Source organism: Homo sapiens, chromosome 10 (genome assembly GCF_000001405.40).
Source record: "Homo sapiens chromosome 10, GRCh38.p14 Primary Assembly".
NCBI classification, from domain to species: Eukaryota; Metazoa; Chordata; class Mammalia; order Primates; family Hominidae; genus Homo; species Homo sapiens.
Window position 1 is genome coordinate 87245865 of NC_000010.11, and position 23404 is coordinate 87269268.

General features: G+C 39.0%; 1 long non-coding RNA gene across 1 annotated transcript in view; it reads right to left on the reverse strand.

Annotated features, from left to right (window-relative positions):
* Positions 1 to 23404, reverse strand: part of NUTM2A-AS1 (NUTM2A antisense RNA 1) — a 103892-nt gene that overhangs the window by 7198 nt on the left and 73290 nt on the right. Inside the window, exon 5 of the long non-coding RNA NR_024397.1 lies at positions 251 to 348. This is a non-coding gene — a long non-coding RNA (NUTM2A antisense RNA 1). The remainder of the gene's footprint in view (positions 1 to 250; positions 349 to 23404) is intronic.

Below are 23404 nucleotides of genomic sequence, written 5' to 3' on the forward strand. Positions count from 1 at the left end.
AAAAAAAATCCCATAAAACCTAGCTCTCACAGGAACTAAGAGACCAAAAACTCACTCACCTGCAACCCAGGGAGAATATTAATCTATTCATGAGGGATCTGCCCCATGAGCCAAATACCTTCCATTAGGCCCCACCTCCAACACTGGGTATCCAATTTCAACATCAGATTTGGAGGGTCAAATACCTGGGCTACATACCCTTGTCTCTAGAAAAAATATATAAAATTTAGCTGGGTGTGGTGACACATACCTGTAGTCTCAGCTACTTTGGAGGCTGAGGCAGGCGGATCATTTCGGCCCAGAATTTCGAGGCTACAGTGAGCTATAATCAGGCCACTGTACAACAGCCTGCAAGACAGAATGAGACCCTGTCTTTAAAAAAATAAAAATAAAAATAAATTAATTACTTTTAAAAAGACCTTGTATTGCAAGTTGGTAAACATAAGTACATTTGTTGGGACTATGAAATTATTCACCCACAGGATCAATGTTACAAATTGGTATTTGCATCTCAATTTAGTTTGTTCAACCCAGAATTCACATTTGCCATAAAACTGTAGTCAATAATTCAATTAAACTACTGATAACCAAAGGGGAAAGCAACATATTGAATCAAAAATAGTTTTATCAACTGGTGTCACCAAAGAAAAGCAGGTTTCACTAGTGTTGAGAAAATAGAAAGTTTTCTATTGATTATGGAGAAATTTCAGTTCAGTTTCTAGAAGGTTAAATGCCCCAATTTTTTTTTTAATGACTGGGTTAAACTAAATAATGGCCTCCATTATTTCCATATGCAAATCCTCAGAACCTATCACTGTTACGTTATATGGCAAAAGAGAATTTGCAAATGTGATTAAGTCAAGGATCTTGAAATTGGGAGATTATCCTGGGTTATCTGATGTCCCCAATGTAATCACAAGGATCTTTATAAAAAAGGAAATGTGAGACAAAGGGAGAGAAGGTGATGTGATGAAGTAGAGGTCAGAGTGATGCGGGGGCTAGATCCAAGGAATGTGGGCAGCCTCTAGAAGCTGAGACAGACAGGGAAATGGATTCTCCTCCTAGAGCCTCCAGAAGGAAAGCAGCCTTGCCAACCCATTTGAAACTTCTGATCTCCAGATCTATACAACAATACATCTGTGTTGTTTTTTTTTATTTTTATTTTTTTAGGGACAGGTCTTGCTCTGTTGCTCAGGCTAGAGTGCAGTGGCATGGTCTGGGCTCACTACAGCCTCAACCTCCCAGGCTCAAATGATCCTCCTGCCTCAGCCTCCTGAGTAGGTGGAGCTACAGACATGTGCCACCACACCTGGCTAATTTTATTTTTTATTTTTTGTAGAGATGGGGTCTCACTATGTTGCCCACCCTGGTCTCCAACTCCTGGGCTCAAGCAATCCTCCTGCCTCAGCCTCCCAAAGTGCTGGGCTTATAAGTGTGAGAGTCACAGTTCCTGGCCCATCTGTGTTATTTTAATGTTTAAGTTTGTCATAATCTGTTACAGCAGCAATAAAAAACTAACAAAATGACTAATTTTACTTCCAAACCCATTGTCTCCCTCCCTTAAAATAATTTTATCACAATAGCTATTTTTATATTACAGTCACACACCACATAATGACCTTTTGGTCAATGACAAACTTCATATACAGTGGTAGTTCCTTAAGATTACAGTGGAGCTGAAAAATTTTTATTGCCCAGATATGTCAGAGCTGATCATTGTACAACACATTACTTACATATTTGTGATGATGCTGGTGTAAACGAACCTACTGTGCTGCCAGTCCTATAAAAGTATAGTACATACAATATGTACAGTACATGGTACTTGATAATGATAATAAACGACTGCGTTATGGGTTTATGTACTTGCTATATTATACTTGTCTTATTATTTTAGAGTGTCTTTTTTATACTTAAAAAAAAGTTAACTGCAAAACAGTCCTTCAGGAGGTGTTCCAGATAAGGCATAGTTACCATAGGAGATGGCAGCTCCATGCATGTTACTGCTCCTGAAGACCTTCCAATGGGAGAAGATAGGGAAGTGAAAGACAGTGATATTGAAGACCCTGGCCCTGTGTAGGCCTAGTCTCATGTGTAATGTGTGTTTATGTCTTTTTGTTTTTTGTTGTTTTTTTGAGACTAGGTCTCACTATGTTGGCCCACGCTGGAGTGCAGTGGCTGTTCACAGGTGCAATCATATTGCACTGCAGCCTTGAACTCCTGGCCTTGGACAATCCTCCCACCTCAGACTTCTGAGTAGCTGGGATTATAGGCTTGCACCATAGCACCTGGCTATGTCTTCATTTTTAAACAAAAAAGTTTGAAAGTAAAAAATAAATAAATAAAAATTTTTAAATAGAAGAAAGCTTATAGGCTGTGTGCAGTGGCTCATACCTGTAATCCCAGCAATTAGGGAGGCTGAGGCAGGCAGATCACTTGAGGCTAGGAGTTTGAGACCAGTCTGGCCCACATGGTGAAACTCTGTCTCTATTAAAAATGCAAAAATTAGCCAGGCATGGTGGCACACTCCTGTGTCCTAAGCTGCTCGAGAGGCTGAGGCATGAGAACTGCTTGAACTTGGGAGGCGGAGGTTGCAGTGAGCCAAGATCATGCCACTGCACTCCAGCCTGGACAACATAGTGAGACTCTGTCTTAAAAAAAAAAACAAAAGAAAAGAAAATGAAAAAGAAAAAACCTCACTGTAGCCTCCACCTCCTGGGCTCAAGCAATCCTTGCACCTCAGCCTCCTAAGTAGCTGGGACCACAGGCACACACCACCACACCCAGCTAATTTTTTTTTTTTTTTTTTTTTTTTTTTTTGGTACAGACAGGGTTTCATCATGTTGCCCAGGCTGGTCTTGAACTCCTGGGCTCAAGAGATCCTCCTGCCTCTGCCTCCCAAAGTGCTGGGATTACAGGCATGAGCCACTGTGCCTGGCCTAAGTGTACCACTTTATATCTTCTATAGTTTACTTTTACTGTACCTTTTCTACATTTAGGTACACAAATATTGACCATTATGTTACAACTGCTTACAGTATTCAGTACAATAATAGGCTGTCCAGGTTTGCAGCCTAGGAACAATAGACAATGCCATATATAGCCTAGATGTGTTGTAGACTATACCATCTCTGTTTGTGTAAGTGCACAGTATGATGTTTGCACAACGATGGAATCACCTCATGATGAATTTTTCAGACTATATCCTTGTTAAGTAATGCATGACCTTAATCAGGAATGAGTCACAGCAATACTGTAATCTTGATGAAGATGTTGATGTAGATAATACTCCCATTTACAATGCACTTGCCAAATACAAGGCATTGCACTGAAAGCTTTACAGACTTTATTTTAAAAAATTTTACAACCTTTTAGGTAAGTACCATTAACCACTTTTACAGATCAGAAAACAGGGTCTATGAGGTGAAATAATTTGTCATACAGTGGTGATGTAAATATGCATATAATGAAACAGAATAGGCAAGTCAGAAGTGATTTTTGTATTTCTTTTAATAGATTAAGGGTACTTACTATCAGCAAAAGAGTGAAAGTCTGACAGAAAAGAAAAAGATGGAAAGAAATGTGGGGATGTGCAATTCCTTATGTTGGTTGGTTCAGCAGAGCTTTGCCATTGTTCAGATGGAGTTTAGGCAAGCAAAAGACGACCAGCCATTGCTGGGTATTTGAACATCAGATGTTCATAAGGCTTAGGTATTCTTAAAAGAAAAATTTATTCTCTTAAAAATTCTGAAAAAAAGTTCTCTGTATTAAAACTTCATAATGAACATTGCCACATTGTATATTAGGCACAGATATTATTTGTTGGAGTTTTTGGTAATTGTTATTTTTGTAACTGGAATATTTAATATATGTTTTATATATATTTATTTTATTTATTTATTTTTTGAGATGGAGTCTCACTCTGTCGCCCAGGCTGCAGTGAAGTGGCACGATCTTGGCTCACTGCAACCTTTGCCTCCCAGGTTCAAGTGATTCTCCTGCCTCAGCCGCCCGAGTAGCTGGGACTACAGGCACGTGCCACCACGCCCAGCTAATTTTTTGTATTTTTAGTAGAGACGGGGTTTCACTGTGTTAGCCAGGATGGCTTCGATCTCCTGACCTCGTGATCCACCCACCTTGGCCTCCCAAAGTGTTGGGATTACAGGCGTAAGCCACCGCTATATATTTTGCAAACAATAGCAAATCTAGAGGAAATTCTTTGAAGTAAGAAGCAGTGGTACTTAAAACTGGCTACTTGTATTTATCATCTCTGTTTCAGTTTTTTAAGAAATTCAAAATTTTTACAGAGAGTTGATAAAAACATTTGATGATTTGGGGTGCAGATGAAGGATGGCTGGTATTTGAAAAATAAATAAATAAAGGCCTTCCTTGATTCTTAATGTTGAGACTGAAGGCTTCATTGGAGTTTCTTCCTCAGCCTGAATTCCAGTGATAATGTGTCTGTTCTTGACATGAGCAATAACTGGAGTACTTAGGATTAAACAAAATATTAGATGTGCCGGGCCAGAGGAGGTGAGGAAAGTCTAAAGTGATAAGGTGCTAGTCAGCTCAGAGTGGCTGTTTTAGATAGTGTAATACAGCAGACTAGAAACTTGTCGGAAAGGAAAGGTACCAGGCAGGAGATAAATGTACACCCACCTTAGCTAATGTAAGGAGCTGAAAACTCTATTTTGAATTTTTATCCTAAACATGGAAATAACATCCTTATGAGAAATTGAACACTAAATAGACATATTAAACCAATTTTGCTTATTGAGACATCTGTTCATTCATTTATTCAACAGCTATTTACTGAGTGGATACTTGGTAGTTTTTAGGCCTTAGAATTAACCCAAGACAAACTTGTGAGGTAGGAAGTTGCATCTCAGTCATCTCACTACTTTGCTCTTTCTTGAGACTTCAGCCTTCCCTTTCCTCCCTCAGGTTTTGGAGCTTAGAAATTAATAATATTAAAGCTTCAATGACAAGACTGTTTAAAATAAAAAATGGTTGGGCTGGGCACGGTGGCTCATGCCTGTAATCCCAGCACTTTGGGAGGCTGAGGCGCACAGATCACAAGGTCAGGAGATCGAGACCATCCTGGCTAACACGGTGAAACTCCATCTCTACTAAAAATACAAAAAACTAGCTGGGCGTGGTGGCAGGCACCTGCAGTCCCAGCTACTTGGGAGGCTGAGGCAGGAGAATGGCATGAACCCGGGAGGTGGAGCTTGCAGTGAGCTGAGATGGCGCCACTGCACTCCAGCCTGGGCAACAAAGCGAGACTCCGTCTCAAAAAAAAATAAAATAAAATAAAAAGTAAAATAAAAAAATAAAAAAAAATTGTTGTGTTCAGTGGGAGATAATGTGTTAAGGAAAGAAAGATGTTAAGTTCTACTACTTGTAGATAGGTGGAATTATTGTGTCCTTTGTATTGTTTTTGCTTTCCTGTCATAAGATATTCCTTGGTTTAATACCATAATAAATACATAAAAATACACATAAGAAACTAAACAATAAAAAGAATGTGTTAAATAATTTTTTTTTTTTACCATTTCAGGTTTTTTTTCTTTCTAATTCAGTTAATCAGTCCCGCTTTGCTTGTTTGTCAAGGTTCTTCAACTTGCTTAAAAACTTTTTCAAATTGGTCAAAAATTAATCTTTCAAATTACTACAGGCTTACAAAACTTTTATGCACCATGCAAACATCATGAGATGTAGTATGGGAGGTAAGGAATATTTAACCTGCTTCAAACTTTAAGTATTGGACATTTGGATTGTTTTCCACTTTACCCCGTTACCGACAAAGTGGAGCAGACATAACTGATTAATATTTTTAACCAAATATTTTGACTTAAGTATCGAATTCCTTTGGGGTCTTGAAGGATATAATACACTATGAAAGAAAAGTAGAAGGTGCTGATGATACAACGAATTAGGAGGACCTATTTTGTCGTGGGAACTTTAGAGAAGACTTTTTGAAGAAGAGTCACATGTCCTACCTCAATCAGTCTACAAGCGCAAGGAAACAACTTAGAGTTCGACAAAGTCATATTTATAGATTCATTGCAGTGAGGGAGATCACACACAGAACTGTGAGGCATCTCACTCACCAAACAAGGACAAGATAATCATTACAGGATTTGGGGGAAGAGTAGAGTTTGGGTGAGATTTAAATGAAACCATTTAAGTGGCTTTTGATGAACTCAAAGCAAATCAGGAGTCAACATCAGGTCTGGGCAGGATCCAGGGGTCTGCTTCCTTGAAAACTAGAAAGTTAAGACAGATATGGATTATTGTGTCCAGAAGCCCTTTTCTTAAGCTCTGTGGCTGGAATGGAAATGGAGGCTGATTCTCTGTGTCAAAGTGTTTTAGAGTCTCCAAGACACTATGATGTTTTATGTTATAATAATATAATTTCAAAGAACAAAGTTTCTTAGCAAGTAAGAAAACAGTAATCACTCAAAGAATGGGGTTGTTATGAAGCTTTATCGCATGTCTTTGGGATAACTAGTTTCCCGTAAACTTTGCAGCTAGTTTTATCAATGTTTATTAATCCAGCTTGATGAGTGATGGAACAGATTTTTACTTTCTAAGTCCTAGCAAAAGCTTTCCCTAAAAAGAGAGGACCAACCAAGAGACAGGGGAAAATAACTTTCTGGAAAGAACAAAAAAACAAGCATGAAGGTTGTGAGCTGGTTCTGGACACATTTAAGACCCTAAAAACCAACAGGACAATGACACAGGCAACAAATGATTTGAAATGATGGAGAGATAGGGGCAGATCTTTCAGGAAGCTGCTAGCCTTAGTTAGGATTTTGCATTTCATCAAAGAGTAGAGGGAAGTCACTAAAGGATTCTAATCAGGGGAATTACCGAATCTTCATCTTCTAAGATAGAGAATGCATTGTCATAGGCAATAGTGGAAGGTAGATGACCGTTTGGAAAGTTGTTGCAAGAGAGGATGATAGTTTATACTAGGGTGGCAGCAGTAAAGAAGGCAGAAATGGAGAGATTCAAGACAAAATTTTAGGTAGAACCAAATGGTCTTAGTGAGAGTTTGAATGTGTAACATGAGGGAGATGGAGTCAGGGATAATATCCAGGTTCTGGCTTGAATATCCGAGTAGAAGGTGGCATCATTAGGATGTGGAAGACTGGAGGTGAGGCAGGATTGATGGAAAAGAACAAGTACAGCTGTAGACATCTTACATTTGTGCGACATTTAAGTAAGAATGCCTTGAAAGCATTTGGGTATTTGGATCTGAGGTTGAGAAGAGAGGATTGAGTTGGTGCTAAATATGGAGTCATAAGTATATATTCAAAGCCATGGAAAAAAAAGTAACATGAGAAGAGAAAAAGGATCAGGACCAAGTCTAAAGGAACTACCAAATCCAGAGGTGAACAGGAGGACAGGAGCCAGCAAGGAAGCCCAGGCACCATGAAGATGGCTGAATTCACTTATGAAAAGCTTGGTTTGATGCTTTGATGTTAACTCAGTTGTACTTGTCATCAATTTCTTAGAGAATCGAGAGCTGAAACATATTCTGAACTGCCTTCTATTTTTATTCACTGCTTTGTATTATCTGTAGTCATCTAGTTAGACAATTCCTTTCCTGCAATGCCTGTGATGGAAGCCAGGAAGCATTTATTTCTTTGCGAAGCATTTGGAAAATATAAACATGGCCGGGCGCGGTGGCTCATGCCTGTAATCTCAGAACTTTGGGAGGCCGAGGTGGGCGGATCACGAGTTCAGGGGATGGAGACCATCCTGGCTAACACGGTGAAACCCCGTCTCTACTAAAAAAATACAAAAAAATTAGCTGGGCATGGTGGTGGGCGCCTGTAGTCCCAGCTACTCGGGAGCCTGAGGCAGGAGAATGGCGTGAACCTTGGAGGCGGAGTTTGCAGTGAGCCGAGATCGCGCCACTGCACTCCAGCCTGGGCGACAGAGCGAGACTCTGTCTCAAAAAAAAAAAAAAGAAAAATATAAACATGCAAATGACATCTTATCACAGCACTGAACAGATGTTTTAAATTGTATTTATTTATTTATTCATTTATTTATTTAGACGAAGTCTCGCTCTGTTGCCCAGGCTGGAGTGCAGTGGCGCGATCTCGGCTCACCGAAACCTCCACCTCCTAGGTTCAAGCGATTCTCCTGCCTCAGCCTCCCGAGTAGCTGGGACTACAGGCACGTGCCACCATGCCCGGCTAATTTTTGTATTTTTAGTAGAGACAGGGTTTCACCATATTGGCCACCGTGTTGGCCAGGCTGGTCTTGAACTCCTGACCTTGTGATCTGCCCACCTCGGCCTCCCAAAGTTCTGGAGGCGTGAGCCACCGCGCCAGGCCATTTTTAATTTTATTTTAAGCCTGTGTTCTAACCACATCATTTACCTGCAGGTCCTTGGATACAATATGTACTTTTGAGTCTGAGTCTGTGCTCACGTTGTTCCTTCTGCTTAGAATGGCCTCTCTTTCCCCTTCTCTACCTAATCAAGTCCTACTTAACTTTTAAAACCCAGCTCTAGTGGCATGCTCCTCTCTGAGCCTTTTGTTGTTCTAATAAGGCGTAACTAATCACTCCTCCTAAATACACTCACAGTATCCAGCTCATTCCATTAGTACAGATCTTTTCATGTTTTACTTTGCTAAGGTATAGACAAATATATCTGTCTCTACCATTGGACTGTAAGGTTCTTAAGTGACCATGAGTTATTCAACTTTACGTCCCTCATACAGAGAACAAATCTTGTTGAATTTACTTGCATGTAATTGGAGATGACATGGCAAAGAATAATGTGGATATATCCTGCTCAGCTTCAGATAAACGCTATGACATATGTAAACAAAATATTCAGCTAACTTTTAAACTTTACATCCAATTTTGACTTATATAGGATGTAAACTGCATACATGTACATATGCTTCAGACCTTTGAACATGCTGCTTTCTGTCTGGCATATGCCCCTATCTTCTCTCTCCCACACAAGTCCACCCATCTCTCAATTTTAGTTTATAGGCTTTTTTTTTTTTTTTTTTTTTGAGACAGATTCTTGCTCTGTCGCCCAGACTAGAGTGCAGTGGTACGATCTCGGCTCACTGCAACAACCACCTCCCAGATTCAAACGATTCTCGTGCCTCAGCCTGCCGAATAGTTGGGATTACAAGTGTGTGCCGCCACGCCCATCTAATTTTTTCTATTTTTAGTAGAGATGGAGTTTCACTGTGCTGGTCAGGCTGATCTTGAACTCCTGGGCTCAGGTGATCCACCTGCCTCGGCCTCCCAAAGTAAGCCCGGCCATTTTTTTTTTAAGAGATAATATCTCAGTCTGTGACAGACTGGAGTACAATGGCGCTATCAATTTTAGTTCTAACTAAACTGTCAACAAAATCTTTGACTACCTTCTCTCTCTACCTCAAGATAGCTTGCTCAATTGCAATGTCACCCTGCACTCTCATTTTACAACACACATCATCTTTTAGTTTCTCAGTAAGTGTTGCTTTCTCTCTACAACTGAAAGCTCCAGGAGGCAGGGACAAAACCTGTAGTTTTTCTTTTCTTTTTTTCTTTTTTCAGCAAAGGGAGGGCTGATTTTTTAACTTTTTGAAAATAGATGAAAGTAAACAATAAAATAATAAAACCTCACATGCCATCGCTCAGCCTCAGTAACCATCAACCCATGGCCAATCCTGTCCCTACTGCAACCCTGCCCATTCCCTACACTCACACATTATTTTGAAGTAAGTCCCAGACAACACATGATTTTATTTGTAAATATTTCAGTCTGTTTCTGAAATGACTCCTTTTTGTAACATAACCACAATGTCATTATTACACCTAAGAATGAATAATATACCTCTTTAATATCATCAACTATCCAGGCAGAATTCAGATTTTTAATTATCTCTTTCAGACAATCTTTTTAATGTCTTTTCTTGAATCAGGATACAAACAAGGTTCACACATTGAGATTGGCTGGTAGTCTATTGTCTCTTTTTACCTACCGATTCACCTTCTATTTTTTCTTTTTGTTTCATCACTTATAAATATAAATACTATTTTTTTAATAGCTATGTCTCCAGTTCCTCACCCAGTCTTGGTCATAGCAGGTTTTAGATAAATATTGTATTTGATGAATAAATGAATGAATACAAGTAATGCATAATTGAGAAATCTCAGGAGATACCAAAAGAAATGTAATTTAATAATAATCTTTGATTTCTCTGATCTCATATTTCTTCAATGTTCTCTAAATTTAAAATTTTATTTGATACATAATAAATGCATACTTTTGAGGCAGAAAGTATTATTCTCTGAAACATTTCTAAGAAATTAATTTACCCTGGAATTGTCATAATTAGTTAATTTTAACTACTTCCCCTATATAAAATTGGTGACTTGGGCAGCAAGACAAAAAAGGTTTCTATTGTTAAGTAAGACTTATTTTTCTTCCTCAAGAAATCATCACTAGTAAGCATTGCAACCTTTACTTTGCTATTGTTAGATGTGGCAACAACTCGTGCTGGACTCGAGAAAATTGTGCAAGCTTGAATTAAATAATTGCTTCTAAATTTGCTTATAAGGAAGTTTATTGTCTTACCAGGGACTAACACTACAAATATGGAAATGGAGTCAAGCAGTGATTCAATGTAGATAACATAATTGGAAACTGGGAGAAAGAATGTTCATTCAACAATCGAGAAAAACTAAAATAAAAGTTAAACTTTACTTCATCAATGCTGGGTCCAAATTAATTAATGAAAACAGAAATAAAACTATGCTTCCTAGGATAATATTGACAGTATTTTTAAAAGTTTATTATTTTTTAAAAAGATTATTATATGAAGAGTAAAAGTCTTTCTATCTCTCTAGCCTCCCTTATTCAGATTTTCAGAGGTAAAAGCATTGTTTCTTATATATCCAGGCATTTTCCTATCAGAATGTCCAACATATGTATATTTATATATAGTCATGCACCTCATAATTACATTTAGGTCAATGGCAGGCCACATGTATGATAGTGGATGGTCCCATAAGATTATAATTGAACTGAAAATTTCCTATCATGTAGTGACATGGTAGCTTTCATAACCTGGTAACACAGCGTATTGCTCACAGGATTATAGTGATGCGATGCAGACAAACCTACTGCACTGTCAGCTATGTAAAAGTATGGCACATACAATTATGTACAGTACATAATACTTAATGATAATAAGTGACTATGTTACTGGTTTATGTATTTACTATACTATACTTTTTATCATTATTCTAGAGTGTACTCCTTCTACTTATTAAAAAAAAGTTAACTGTAAAACAACCCCATGAAGAGTAATATATTCTAGATACACTTCTGTACTTGCCTTTCACACAGTTGATCATGTTGTTCAAATTGTCCAGATTTGGGCATTAGTAGCTCCTTTAAGTTGGCTCCGATGTCTTGTAGACTTGGCCCCCATTATTTTGTGAACATGTCTTTACTTTCTGGCACTTTAAATGGTCTAAGCTCATCTTGCATTCCTCCTGCTCTAGTCTGGACTCAGTCATTTCCCCAGGGAGCTCTGGTTCCTTTCATCGAGAATGGTATTTAGAAACCAAGATCTGGAAACTAGTTGTGCTCATTGCTACTGGGATCTCACTGCATGTATATCCATGAGTTCACACTGATATTCCTGCTCTGATTTCAATCTGGAGTTTGTGCTACTTCACAATTTCTCTATTTTAACTCTTTTATCTGACAGAAAACTGGCTCTCAATATCCACAGTGTATTTCTTAATTACTCAATCCTAGTATATACATAAAGTAGTTTCAGAAATACTAACCCATACCCTATGAAAAACAAATTTACTAAAGTACAATATTTTCATACAGTTCTTTCTGTTTTTAGCCTTCTAGTATATGGTTAAAATAATGTTCTCCAGGTTATGTTAGATAATTCTTTTATTTTTTATCCCATTTAGTATAATTATGTCATTTATTTGTAATACAGTTGGGCTTATTTGTTACTGCTTATATTCCATTTTGGGTCTTCCCTTCCCCAACATCCTGGTTAATTTTAATTATTTATTTTTTTGGGGGGGGGTGAAACATTACCATATTTATAGGAATTAGAGCTATGCATATAGGAATACTCTGAGTGTGTCACATCTCTCTAATCATTTCTACCCATTTTTATTCCCCAATTTTTCCACGCTGATCCTACTTAACCTCTGTAGGTGACGAATCTCATTTGTTTCTAGTTTAACTTTCCAGTATGTTTTTCCTCATATATGTGGATATATGTATATTTTCTTATATATACTTCTTTCTTACATGAAGAGTAGTATACTCTAGATATTCTTCTGTACTTTGCTTTCCACATAAGAATATACCTTGGAAATCTCTGAATATGAATCCATAGAGCTCTTCCTCATTTATTTTATAGCTGCATAGTGCTCTCTTGTGTGAATTGTTAGAGTTTATTTAAAAACCACTGTTCTATATATGAGTATTTAATTTGTTTCTTAAATTTAGCAATTATATATAATCTTACAATGAATAAACTTGTACATATGTTTTTCATATTGTTGGATATGTATCTTCAGGGTAGATTTTATAAGTGAGATTATAGGGCTCCTTATGTAGTTATATTAGGTATTGCCAAGTTTCCATTGAGAAGGGTTGTAGCAGTTTGTATTCCTTAACAGCAATGAAAAGAGTGATTATTTTCCTAAGATCTGGCTAACAAAATGTGTTGTCATATTTTAATTTATTACATTTTATTAGTTAAAATTTTATTTTAATTTTTACCCATCTGATAGGTGAGAAATAATAGCTTAGCATTTTTTTAATCTGCATTTTTCTAGTTATGAATTTGCACTTTACAGGTATATATATGTATTTTTCTTTTTAAAAAATTGTATTTTAAGTTCTGGGGTACATGTGCAGGACATGCAGGTTTATTACGTAGGTAAATGTGTGCCACGGTGGTTTGCTGCACCTACTAACCCATCACCTAGGTATCAAGCCCTGCATGCATTAGCTATTTATCCTGATGCTCTCCCTCTTCCCAACCCGCTGACAGGCCCGAGTGTGTGTTATTTCCCTCCCTGTGTCCATGTGTTCTCAATGTTCAGCTCACACTTATGAGTGAGAAACATGAGGTGCTTGGTTTTCTGTTCCTGTGTTACTTTGCTGAGGATGATGGCTTCCAGCTTCATCTGTGTCCCTGCAAAGGACACGATCTCATTCCTTTTTATGGTTGCATAATATTCCATGGTGTATATGTACCACATTTTCTTTATCCAGTCTACCATTGATGGACATTTGGGTTGATTCCATGTCCTTGCTCCTGTGAATAGTGCTGCAGTAAACATACACATGCATGTATCTTTATAATAGAATGATTTATATTCCTTTTGGTATATACACAGTAATGGGATTGCTGGGTCAAATGGTATTTCTGGTTCTAGATCCTTGAGGAATCACCACACTGTCTTCCACAATGCTTGTACTAATTTACATTCCCACCAACAGTGTAAAAGCATTCCTTTTTCTCCACAGCCTCGCCAGCATCTATTGTTTCTTGACTTTGAAAAGTGATTATATGTATATTTACGGATCACTTTTTCAACAGCCTTGTTAAGGTTGTGGAGACAAAAACCACCCCATCTTGGATGCTAATCCACCATGTTGACTTCTGATTAGACCCAGTCCCATGAATAACTTCTGGTTTCTACTTTATTTACTGTCCCTAGTATAAGATCAAAACAACCCTGATGTTATCACACAAATTATAGGCTAGGACACACATAGCATTTTCGCCTGTTCTGGAGGGTTGCCTTTAATCGTTTTTGCTGGAGCATGTGTACCCTTTCCATACGGTACCCAAACCTTGGGTCTGGGAAATAACAGTGTGGAGATCTACCTGTCTTGCAGTCATCCAAGATCACACTTCTGTCCATAAGTTCCTCAGTAAATCACCCATTACTGACGAACTGGATTTGTTCACTTCCTTCTTTGGTTTCTGGGCTTCTTCAGCATTTGGGAATAGCTTTGTGTGCACAGCCTTTTCACAGAACAAAGATATGACCTACTTTCTGTTTCTATAGAGTTGTTAAAGCCATTTGTGTGTCTCTGTGTGTGTGTGTGAATTGTCTATTGATGCCCTTTTCCCATTTTTTCTAATGGGTGCTTGGTGCTTGATCTCTTAATTTCTAACAATTATTTACATATTAGGAATATTAGCCCTTTTCCTGTAATATATGTTGAAAGCATGTTTTTAACCTGGTTGTCAGTTGTCTTTTGACTTTGTTTATGATATTTATCATGCAGTTTATTTTTATGTTACTAGATTCATCAGTCTTTTATAAATGGCTTTTAGATTTAGATTTATAACCATTGCCAACTGCTGGCTCCTCCAGAAACCACCAAAATGGTTTACTGATGAACAAAAACCAAGTTTATTGCTCACTGCAGTAAGGAAGATGACTGTCTTCACATAATCTTAGTAGCCTCAGAAAAGGGAGTCAAGGGTGGGATATTGGTAAGCTTTGGGGAGTCTGGTTCTAAGGTATGTCTTTCAACATGAGGTGTGCAGTCCTGACTGGGATAGGGTAAAGTTTGGATTGCTGGATACAGTGAGGCAAGACCTATAAAGCCAGCCTTGAAAGGTAAACAGTCACTTGAAAACCCAGTTGAGTGATCTACTGTTCTGAAAAGAAGGCTGTTTAGCCCGATGAGGCTGTATGAGTACAGATACATAGATCGGAAAGTTTCCAGGACAAAAAAGTAATTTCAACTTTACTTTCTTAGGCAAGGATTTCTTGGAATAGTAAAGTCATCTTAGTGCAGACAGTTCCTAATCTCTTTATTTTTTATTTTTAGAGACATAGTCTCTCTCCATCCATTAGGTTGGAATTCAGTGTTGTGATCATAACTCACTGAAATCATAAGCTGGAATGCCTGGGCCCAAGTGATCCTTCCACCGCAGCCTCCCAAGTAGCTAGGGCTACAAGCACATGCCACCATGCCCAGCTAATTTTTAATCTTCTTATATAGAGACAGATTCTTGTTATGTTGGCAAGACTGGTTTTGAACTCCTGGTCTCAAGTAATCTTCCTGCCTTGGCCTCCCAAAGTGCTAGGATTACAGGTATGAGCCACCATGCCCAACCAAACAGTTCCTAATCTTTTTAAGCTGTGTGGCTTCAGGTTGCTTTTGTTCTCAACATATCCTCTATAAATAGATTCCTACCATTGGCTGCGCGTGGAGGCTCACACCTGTAATCCCAGCATTTTGGGAGGCCAAAGCGGGTGGATCACCTGAGGTCAGGAGTTCAAGACCAGCCTGGTCAACATGGTGAAACCCCGTCTCTACTAAAAATACAAAAAATTAGCCAGGCATGGTGGCAGATGCCTGTAATCCCAGCTACTTGGGAGGCTGAGGCAGGAGAATTGCTTGAACCCGGGAAGCAGAGGTTGCAGTGAGCCATAAGCCAAGATCCCACCATTGCACTCAAGCCTGGGTGACAGAGCGAGACTCTGCCTCAAAAAAAAAAAAAAAAAAAAAAAAATCCTATCATCTCTTTTATCTTCAGGTCATCTTTTTCTATTTTGATGTGTAAATTCTAGTTCTATGTTCTTTTAGTTTTCTGCAAAAGAGTACATGGGGATATATTTATAAATGCATGCATATTCAAAAATTTTCTTCTGCCCTTACATGTAAATGATAATGTGAATTTCATTTAGGATTTTTGAATCATATTTTTGTACAATATTTTCATACCGTTCTTTATGTTGAAGGGGTTCCTGTAGCAGCCTGCATTTTCTTCTGCAGTACTTACCACAATCAGAAGTTACGCTCCATCAAGGCAGTGAGTATCAGGTTTATACACTGCTATATTCCCAATGCCTAGAAAAATGCCTGACATATGATAATACCTCAGTAAACATTTGTCAATAAATAAGTGAATGAGGGGCGGGTGCAGTGGCTCACACTTGTAATTGACACTTTGGGAGGCCAAGGCGGGAGGATCGCTTCAATCCAGGAGTTCAAGGCCAGCCTGGACAACATAGTGAGATCCCATCTCTACAAAAAATAAAATAATTGGCCATGTGTGGTGGTGCATGACTGTGGTCCCAGCTACTCAGGAGGCTGAAGTGGGAGGACTGTTTGAGCCCAGGAGGTGGAGGCTGCAGTGAGCCATGATTGCACCACTGTACTCCAGCCTGGGTAACAGAGCAAGTCTCTGTCTCAACAACTAGAAAAGAAAAGAAAAGAATAAATGAATGAATTAGAGGTTGTATATGTAATGTATTTCTTCTCCTCTGGACTATAAACTTAACAGAAAGAGGAATCTTCTACATTGTTTGCCTCTTGTGTTTCATAACAAAGTATCTGCCTCATAAAGATGTTGCATACATTTTTGTAAGCCAGTGTATGTTTGCATAAGTGAAATTCAGTAAAATGCATTCCGGTAAGACTCAAGTAGAAACTAATTATATATTCTTCTTCCTTCCTTTCCTTTTCCTTTTCCTTTTCTTTGTCTTACTCTTTCTGTTACCCAGGCTGGAGTGCGGTGGCCTGATCACAGCTCACTGCAGCCTTGACCCCACTAGGCTCAGGTAATTTTTCCACCTCAGCTTTCTGAGTAGCTGGGACTACAGGCACACACCACCATACCTGGCTAATTTTTATACTTTTTCTACAAAAATACAAGGTTTTGCCATATTGCCCAGTCTGGTCTTCAACTCCTGAGCTCAAGTGATCCACCTGCCTTGGCCTCCAAAAGTGCTAGGACTACAGTTGTGAGCCACTGTGCCCAGCCTAATTACATATTCTTATTTCAAGACCTCTTTGAAGATAAACCTTTAGTGCTAAATAATCATTCAGTATCATATCCTCTCAGCTTCTAGGACCAAATATTTGGCTTATCTCAACAACATGTATTCAGAATGCCCAATTCAATCTTGTCTTTGCAGAAAAAATCATTTTCTCTTATACACGATCCCAAAATATGCAAGAAAATATACATATTTTTCTCTTCTCCCCCTTGTTTCATAAACTGGTGTTGAGTTTTTAATTTTTATTGATGGTTTGGAATTTATAATGAAAATGAAAATGCTGATGAGGTCTTTGGCTGTAGTAACAAGAAGTACTACAGATGACTCAGAGAATAAAGCTGCCTCACATTACATTAAAACTCATCTCTTGGAAAATGGTGTAAATGGTTGACTGGAGATGAAGGTAATTTATCAATTTATGTGGTTGAGGCATATTACATGATCTTAACTTTCATAAAATTAAATCTGAATATATAACAATTTGAAATACCTTAATGCTAAGCCTTATCATTTGGCGAAGCCCCTTTTATCAAATTGAAACTCTAAAATTACCTACCATCATTTATCCCAATGGTATAACATGTCAATGGCTTACAATGTATCATTTATTTTCATAATCCATCCTTCATGAAAAATATTACCTAAAGTGTTTACCATAAAAGTGAGTGACACCTAAGGCAAAGAAAAATAACAAAAATAGAATTAAAGAGAAAGGACTCAGAGGATGGAAGACATTGATTTAGGAAGAATGAATGACGGAGTTATAGGAGCATCCTATAATGTTAAGTTGTTACATCTTGCTAAAGGCCAAGCTCATTCTGCATATGTGAAGAGTTGATTGCATTATTTACATAGATGTATCTTGGGATTTGAACAAAGTTGTAAGTCAGTATAGAGGAAGTTGGGCATTCCAGGGTGAGCCTATTAGCGTCCTCCAGAGTAGAAATATTGGAATGGTCTCATACAGAAGAGATAGAATATAGGATAATTCGTCATTGATTACTTCCTCTGAATTAGGATATATTTATAATACTGTTTTTAAACCAGATAAAACTAGAGAAAATCTCAAGTAATTAGTCAATTTATTGTATTCCCCATCTTTCTTCTCTGAAACATTCCCTAGGTATACAGTAGTGTAAATATACATTTCAAAAGAGAGAGGTGCTACAGACCCTCTTTGCAACCTGTATGTGTATCCAATCCTCTTGTCTTCTTCTTCATTCTGTTTCAAGAGGATTACACTTTTAAAATGTCTTTTGAATTCCTGATCGCCTTACCATTCCATTTCCACTGCCTTGTCACCTTTCACAAAGAGTACTGAGGTAGCTTCTTTAAAAAATATGTATAGTTTCAACTTTTATTTTAGAATCAGTGGGTACATGTGCAGGTTTATTACATGGGTATGTTTCATGAAGTTGAGTCCGTTACCCAGGTAGTGAGAAAAATACACAATAGTTGGTTTTTCAACCCTTGTCCCCTTCTTCTCTCCTCCCTCTAGTATTTGCCAGGATCTATTTTTCCCATCTTTATGTCCATGTGTACCCAATGTTTAGCTCCCACTTATAAGTGAGAACATGCAGTATTTGATTTTCCATTTCTGTGTTAATTCACTTAGGATAATGGCCTCCAGTTGCATCCATGTTGCCACAAAGGACATAATGTCATTCTTTTTTATGGCTACATAGTATTCCATGGCGTATATGTACCACATTTTCTTTATCCAATCCACCATTGATGGACACCTAGGTTGATTCCACGTTTTTGCTATTGTGAATAGTGCTGTGATTAGCATACAAGTGCATGTCTCTTTTGTGTAAAATTATTTATTGTCCTTTGGGTATATACCCAGTCATGAGATTGCTGGGTCAAATGGTAGTTCTATTTTAAATTCTTTGAGAAATCTCCAAATTGCTTTCCACAGTGGCTGAACTAGTTTACATTCCTACAAACAGTATATAAGTATTCCCTTTTCTCTGCAGCCTTGCCAACATCTGTTATTTTTTGACTTTGTAATAATAGCCATTCTGATTGGTGTGAGATGGCATCTTATTGTGGTTTTGATTTGCATTTCTTTGATGTTGATATAATCACCAAAAACGTAAACATTTCAGTTGCTATTGGTTACATGTTACGTTTTCTGTTGTTTTTATTGTTGTGTAGTTCCTCCTGAGCTGGTTCGGCTCTGTGTCCCCACCCAAGTCTCTCACCTTGAATTGTAATAATCCCCTTGTGTTCTTGGAGGAACCCCGTGGGAGGTAATTGAATCATGGGGAGGGGGTTTCTTCCCATGCTGTTCTCATGATAGTGAGTAAGTCTCATGAGATCTGATGGTTTTAAAAAGGGGAGTTCTCCTACACATGCCCTCTTGCCTGCTGCCATGTAAGATGTGGTTTTTGCCTTACACCATGACTGCGAGGCCTCCCCAGCCATGTGGAACTGTGAATCAATTAAACCTCTTTTCTTTACACATTACCCACTCTCGGGTATGTCTTCATTAGCAACATGGGAACAGATTAATACAGTAAATTGGTACTGGGTAGTGGAGTGCTGCTGTAAAGACATCAGAAAATGTGGAAGCTACTTTGGAACTGGGTAACAGGCAGAGGTTGGAACAGCTTCGAGGACTCAGAAGAAGACAGAAAAGTATGGGAAAGTTTGGAACTTGCTAGAGGCTTGTTGATGGCTTTGACCAAAATGCTGAAGTGATATGGACAATAAAGTACAGGCTGAGGTGGTCTCAGATGGAGATGAGGGGTTTGTTAGGAATTGAAGCAAAGGTGACTCTTGTTATGCTTTAGCAAGGAGACTGGTGGCATTTTGCCCCTGCCCTAGAGATTTGTGGAACTTTGAACTTGAGAGAGATGATTTAGGGCATCTGGTGGAAGAAAGTTCTAAGCAGCAAAGCATTCAAGAGGTGACCTGGGTGCTGTTAAAAGCATTCAGTTTTATTTATTCACAAAGATATGGCTTGGAATTGTAAGTTATGTTTAAAAGGAAAGCAGGGCATAAAAGTTTGGAAAATTTGCAGCTTGATGATGTGATAGAAAAGAAAAACTCATTTTCTGAGGAGAAATTCAAGCCAGCTGCAGAAATGTGCAAGTAACAAGGAGCCAAATGTTAATACCCAAGACAATGGGGAAAAGTCTCTAGGGCATGTCAGAGACCTTCCTGGAAGCCTCTCCCATCACAGGACTGGAGACCTAGGAGGAAAAAATGGTTTCCTGGGCCAGGTCCAGGGCTCCATTGCTGTGAGGAACCTAGGGACTTGGTGACCTACATCCTAGCTGCTCCAGCCATGGCTAAAAGGGGCCAAGGTAGAGCTCGGGTTGTGGTTTCAGAGGGTGCAGCTTGGCAGCTTCCACATGGTGTTGAGCCTGTGGGTGCACAGAAGTCAAGAACCAAGGTTTGGAAACTTCTGTCTCAATTTCATTGGATGTATGGAAATGCCTGAATGTCCAAGAAGAAGTTTGCTGTAGGGGCAGGGCCTTCATGGAGAACCTCTGCTATGGCAGTGCAGAAGGGGAATGTGGAGTTGGAGCCTGCACACTGAGTCCCCAATGGGGTGCTGCCTAGTGGAGCTGTGAGAAGAGGGGCACTGTTCTCCAGACCCCAGAATGGTAGATACACTAACAGCTTGTGCTGTACACCTAGAAAAGACACTCAATGCCAGCCCATGAAAGCAGCCAGGAGAGGGGCTGTACCCTGCAAAGCCAAAGGGGTGGAGCTGCCCAAGGCTATGGGCGCCCAGTTCTTGCATCAGGATGTGAGACATGGAGTCAAAGAAGATCATTTCAGAGTGTTAAGATTTGGCTGCCCCGCTGGATTTTGGACTTGCATAGGCCCTGTAACCTCTTTGTTTTGGCCAATTTCTCCCATGTGGAATGGGTATATTTATGCAATGCCTATACCCCCATTATATCTAGGATGTAACTAATTTGCTTTTGATTTTACAGACTCATAAGTGGAAGGGACTTGCCTTGTTTCAGATGAAATTTTGGGCTTGGACTTTTGGGTTGATGCTGAAATGAGTTCAGTTTTTTGAGGATTGTTGAAAGCGCATGATTGTGTTTTTGAAATGTGAGGACATGAGATTTGAGAGGGGCCAGGGGTGGAATGATTGTAGGGAAAAGAAAGAGAGATCAGACTGTTCCTGTGTCTATGTAGAAAAGGAAGACATAAGAAACTCATTTTGATCTGTACCCTGAACAATTGTTTTGCCTTGAGATGCTGTTAATCTGTAACTTTAGCCCCAAGCCTGTGCTCACAGAAACATGTGTTGTATGGAATCAAGGTGTAAGGGATCTAGGGCTGTGCAGAATGTGCCTTGTTAACAATATGTTTACAGGCAGTATGCTGGTAAAAGTCATTGCCATTCTCCATTCTCGATTAACCAGGGGCACAATGCACTGCGGAAAGCCTCAGGGGCCTCTGCCCAAGAAAGCCTGGGTATTGTCCAAGGTTTCCCCCAACTGAGGCAGCCTGAGATACGGCCTCGTGGGAAGGGAAAGACCTGACTGTCCCCCAGCCTGACACCCATAAAGGGTCTGTGCTGAGGAAGATTAGTAAAAGAAGAAGGCCTCTTGTGGTTGAGATAAGAGGAAGGCCTCTGTCTCCTGCATGCCCCTGGGAATGGAATGTCTCAGTGTAAAACCCAATCATACATTCATTCTATTCTGAGATAGGAGAAAACTGCCCTGTGGCTGGAGATGAAATATGCTGGCGGCAATGCTGCTCTGTTACTCTTTACTACACCGAGATGTTTGGGTGGAGAGAAGCATAAATCTGGCCTACATGCACATCCAGGCATAGTACCTTCCCTTGAACTTATTTGTGACACAGTTTCCTTTGCTCACAGGTTTTCCTGCTGACCTTCTCCCCACTATCACCCCGTTCTCCTGCCACATTCTCCTTGCTGTGATAATGAAAATAGTAATCAATAAATACTAAAGGAACTCAGAGACCGGTGCCGATGCAGGTCCTCTGTATGTGGAGCGCTGGTCTCCTTGGCCCACTGTTCTTTTGCTATACTTTGTCTCTGTGTTTTATTTATTTTCTCAGTCTCCCCATCCCACCTGACGAGAAATACCCACAGCTGTGGAGGGGCTGGCCCCCTTCAGATGATATGGTTTGGCTCTGTATGCCCACCCAAGTCTCACCTTGAATTATAATAATCCCCACGTGGGATCAATTGTGGGACCAGGTGGAGGTAATTGAATCATGAGGGTGTCTTCTTTCCATGCTGTTCTTATGATAGTGAATAAGTCTTACAAGTTCTGATGGTTTTATAAAGGGGAGTTCCCCTACACAGGACCTCTTGCCTGCCACCATGTAAGACGTGCCTTTAGCCTTCCACCATGATTGTGAGGCCTCCCCAGCCATGTGCAACTGTGAGTCAATTAAACCTCTTTCCTTTATACATTACCTAGTATCGGGTATGTCTTCATTAGCAGTGTAAGAACAGACTAATATGCTGCTTCTACAGTTTATTGAATTTAACTTTTAAATCAAGTTGTGATTTTATTGTTGTTGTTGTCTTTGAGTCTTGCCATCCAAATCAAAACTGGGCTAATTTGTGGAAATAATATCTATTGGGTTAAGGAGAGAATTGTTAGATGCAGCCTAAAAGAAAGAATTTAGTGTTCACTGTATCTATCATGAAAGGCTCTTTCTATTTGTTTTCTATTATAAAGTAATATGCTGTATTTCATGGCAAAGGCTTTAAATTGAAAACTCCAAGGCTTAAAATTTAAGCCTTGCATTTGGAAATAGACAACTAGCTCTACAGAAGTAGTTTTGTTTTGTTTTTGTTTGTGTTTTTTTGCAGTGGGGGGCTGGTATTTGGGGGCAGGGAGAGGGGAAAAAGTCCATTTGCTGGTACTGAGTGACTTTGGGCAAGTTACTTGCCCTCTGTAAGCCTCAATTTCCTCATCTATAAAATGGGATATTAGCTTTCTTGTAGGATTGTTGGGAGAATTAAATGAGATAAGGAATATCTGTAAAGCAGTTAACATGAAACAGGCCCTCAATAAATGGAAACTAATTTTATTGTTTGTAATAGAAAACAACAATGTGTCAGCTTCTAGTAATAACTTTAAAATATTCTATGCATACTATATAGCAAAGGCAGTTTTACTTCTAATCACAGAACATATAACACTAAGTATAGTTCTAATACTTAAGAAGCAAAATAACACCAGGGCAGTAACAAATGCTGGAGAGGAGGTAGAGAAAAGGAAACCCTCATATGTTGTTGATGAGAATGTAAATTAGTACAACCACTATGGAGAAGAGTTTGGAGGTTTCTCATAAAAGTAAAAATAGAGTTACCATATGACCTAACAATCTACTGGGTATATACTCAAAAGAAAGGAAATCAGTATATAGAAAATATATTTGCACTCCCATGTTTGTTGCAGCACTATTCACAACAGCCAAAATTTGGAAGCAACCTAAGTGTCCATTCACAGATGAATGGATAAAGAAAATGTGGCACTTATCTGCAATGGATTACTATTCAGCCATAAAAAAGAATGAGATCTTGTCATTTGCAATAACATGGATGGAACCGGAGGTC